Genomic DNA, 3528 nt, shown 5'->3' with positions numbered 1-3528 from the left:
GTCTAAGGGCTTTGTCTTGGACCATGGACCTGGAGACCAGCAGAGCAGGGTTTGCATCAGGTGTGTCTTCTTCTTCTCATCAGTGTTACAGACAGGAAGAGAGAGGCACCGACTGCGTAAGTGCCTTGTTTGATTCATCTAGATAAAAGGGGTCATTGCAGGATTCAGGGCAGAGCTTTCCTCAGAGCGGCCACTGACAAAGACGTCCTGAAACAGACATCTCCACTCTTTCAGGGACGCCAAACTAGGTAAAAAATTCTGGATGGCTCTGCATTGCATCCTCTATCAAAACCTGCAACTTGGGCTTTGAACCGCAGCTTCTGCTTGAACACCCACATGGTCTTTGAATTTGGAACAGTTAGAGAGAGACACAAGTGGTTCCTGTTGGGTGGCTTCTTTTACAAGTTGGTTTTTAAAACATGGTGCTGGGTGGTGGCTGCAGGCCAGGGAAGTGGGGACTTTGGCTGTGAGTTCCAGGCAGCAAGCTGGTTGGTGGGTGGACCAGCCTGGACTCCACAACACAGAGTGCAGCGCCGCGCGGGGCTTTGCATTTGGTCCTTGGGAAAAAGCTGACATGCTGAGAGACCAGTTTCCAAGAATGGGCTCAGTGAGAAATTTTTATGCATAGTGGAGAAGCACAATCGAAGGAGTCAGAGTGAGCTCCTGTGGGCTCTGTGGCTGTCAAATCAGCTATGTGGCCTCGGGTGTCTCATGTAACCCCTCTGTGGCCATTTCCCCGTCTGTGAGACAGGACCTGTAGGGCGGGCTTTCTTAGGAAGGGGGCAGATGTCCTTAGACTGAGACCAGGGCACAGTTTTGGAAAAGGCCCCTTCACTGAAGACAGGGTTCTGCAGGTCAGGAGGAGAGTGGTCTGTCCGCCAGTTCTTGTCAGTAGTCCTGACAAATAATGCTGGGAGAGCTGGCTTCTTTGCAGGCCTCCAGGCCTGAGTATGTATGCAACCAAGCCTGGTGGAGGCCCTAGTGACCCAGGCAAAGCCAGGCTATGCTGACTGTAGTCCTGCCTGCCCTGTGCCTGCAGGTCCTGTGCCTGGGGCTCCGGAGGGCACAAGCCTGCCTGAAGCTCATCCCCAACCCTTTTACTCAAAGACCTGAATTGGAACCAGCGGGGACAGACAGGAGATCCTCACATAGCTGACCCAGGCTCAAATCCCTGTCTCCCTCTTACATGTTCTAAGCCTCAGTTTTGTGACCCCTTCTTATAAAGAATACATCAGATAACATTTGCAAGTGCTTAGCTCACTTGCTGTTGGACCCAGGGGCTGATAATGCAAGTCTCTAGGACTCGGGGCATCTGTTTTCCTTCTCTCCCCCAACAGATGCAGGTGACCACCTGGCTGGCCCTGAGAGCTACTTGCAGGCTGCCAGGTAACAAGGGGTAAGGGCTGCTGCAGGGCAGCCCCTCCACTCCATGCTGGGAATCTCAGGAGAAGGGAGTCTGTTACTGTGCCACCTTCTTCCACTTCCACCCCCAGTACCCTCCCGCTCCACAGGCTTCCCAGTCCTTCCTCCAAATCTCCTCCTTACCAGGACCAATGGGAGATGGTTCCTGACTCACTTGTGCTGGGCTTGAGAAAGCCTGGTGGGAACCCTCCTCCCAGGCCGGCCCGAGGGAGGGCATTCTCCAGGGGATGCTCCTGGCTGCAGGAAACAGCCCATCCACACCTCCCCTCCATCATCGCCTGTGATGGCTCTAGGCCCCAGGCATTAATGTGGGGAGGAGGTAATGCCACACATTTTCTTTTGTTCTGTTTCTTGAGTAAGAAGGTTGTACCCTTTCCTGCCCCAAGCGTCCCACTCGTGCATTGTCACTGCAAAGTGGGGGAAATGACGTTGTTCTGCAGCACACCATTGTCACCCCACGTCGCCCCTGTGAGCAGGAGCATCAGGTCGGCAGTGTTGCTCCTCAGTGGATGCACCGTGACCAGAACGAGGTCGCTGGATCGGATGAACTGAGCCTACTACCCCAGCTCCTGCCGCAACCCCAGACCAAGAGAGCCTCGGCTCCTTCATCTGAAAAAGGGGAATGAAAACAGGTGGGAGGGGGATTAGGCCGTGTAAAGTACCTTACAGGAGAATGCCTCATCAGATCCAGAGTATTTTACAAATGGTAGGGATTTTCACCATACATATGATAAAATATATGTCACATAAAATTTACCTTTTTAAAGAGACAGAGTCTTGCTCTGTTGCCCAGGCTGAAGGGCAGTATTGCTATCCTAGCTCACTGCAGCCTCAAACTCCTGGGCTTAAGCCATATGCCCACCTCAGTCTCCTGAGTAGCTAGAACTACAGGTGTGTGCCACTATGCCCAGCTAATTTTTTAAAAAATTAGAGATGCTGTCTTGCTATGTTGCCTGGACTGGTCTCCAACTCCTGGTCCCAAGCCCTGCCTCAGCCACCCAAAGTACTGGGATTGCAGGTGTAAGCCACCGCATCCAGCCAAAATTTACCATTTTGACCATATTAAAGTGTATAATTCAGTGGCATTAAGTACATTCACAATGTTGTGCAACCATCACCACAGTCCTGTTCCAGAACTTTCCCATCACCCCAGATGGAAACCAGTACTCTGTTAGCGGCCACTCCCCATCCCCGCTCCCCCAGACCCTGGCAGCTGCTCATCTGCTTCTTGTCTGTGAACTCGCCTACTCTGGATATTCCATATAAGTAGGATCTTACAGACTGGGGCCTTTTGTGTCTGGCTTTTTCACTTAGCGTCATGTTTTCAAAGCTTATCCATGTTTCCACATGTGCCAATTTCATTCTCTCAAAAGGCTTATTATTCAGCCATTTTTATCAGAGGCTTATTATTCCATTTTGTGGCTATGCAACATTTTGCTTATAGAAATGGTTGTTTTAGTTTAAAATCTCACCCTGGGATGAGAAATCATCCTGGAAATGATGGGAACAGAGGTGCCTAGTGTGGAGACAGAAGGTGGGGCAGAGGGTGGACATGAGACCAGCCTTCAAACCTCAAGGCGGTTTGGTTAGGTTAGATTAGGTTTCAGCTTTGATGTTGCTTCTGCCAAAAGCCTTTTCTGACCTGGCCCCGATAACCCTTCCCTCAAATCTTGATGAGTGTCTCTTCTGAGCGTTCCCTCAGGTCCCTGAACTTCTCTTATTATAGCCCTGGGCTGTCTGTGTCTGAGTGACTCAGGCTGTGGGCCTGAGTGACTATATCGTCTGGACCCCAGGTGGAAAGACCAGGACCAAAGGGAGATGACTTCTGACTCACTTCTGCTGGGCTTGAGAAAGCCTGGTGGGAATCCTCCTCCCAGGCCGGCCCTAGGGAGGGCTTCTGAGGGGTGTGGAGCCGGGGGGTGGGCAGGGATCTGAAGGTGAGAGTAAGCGTCACCCAGAGGCTGTTGAGGCAGAACTGAGGGGCAGCTGGGACTGCTGACTGGGAGGCGGGTGGGGCCGGGTCAAAGTGGAGGGAGTGGGGGGACCATTAATTTGTGGACAGGCTGGGCTCGAGGCAGAAGAGGAAAGGGCTGCTGAGGTCTGAAC

General features: G+C 52.2%; 1 annotated feature.

Moving 5' to 3' along the window:
* Window positions 527–1419: an enhancer, noted in NCBI's record as "H3K4me1 hESC enhancer chr11:133590113-133591005 (GRCh37/hg19 assembly coordinates)". NCBI's record gives its function as "activates a minimal SCP1, AML or CMV promoter by ChIP-STARR-seq in primed H9 embryonic stem cells {active_cell/tissue: H9 hESC(primed)}" and the evidence as "EXISTENCE:reporter gene assay evidence [ECO:0000049][PMID:30033119]".

This window comes from Homo sapiens, chromosome 11 (assembly GCF_000001405.40).
Source record: "Homo sapiens chromosome 11, GRCh38.p14 Primary Assembly".
Taxonomy (NCBI): Eukaryota; Metazoa; Chordata; class Mammalia; order Primates; family Hominidae; genus Homo; species Homo sapiens.
Note: the sequence above shows the minus strand (reverse complement) of the source record. Positions and strands in the feature narration are given on the sequence as shown.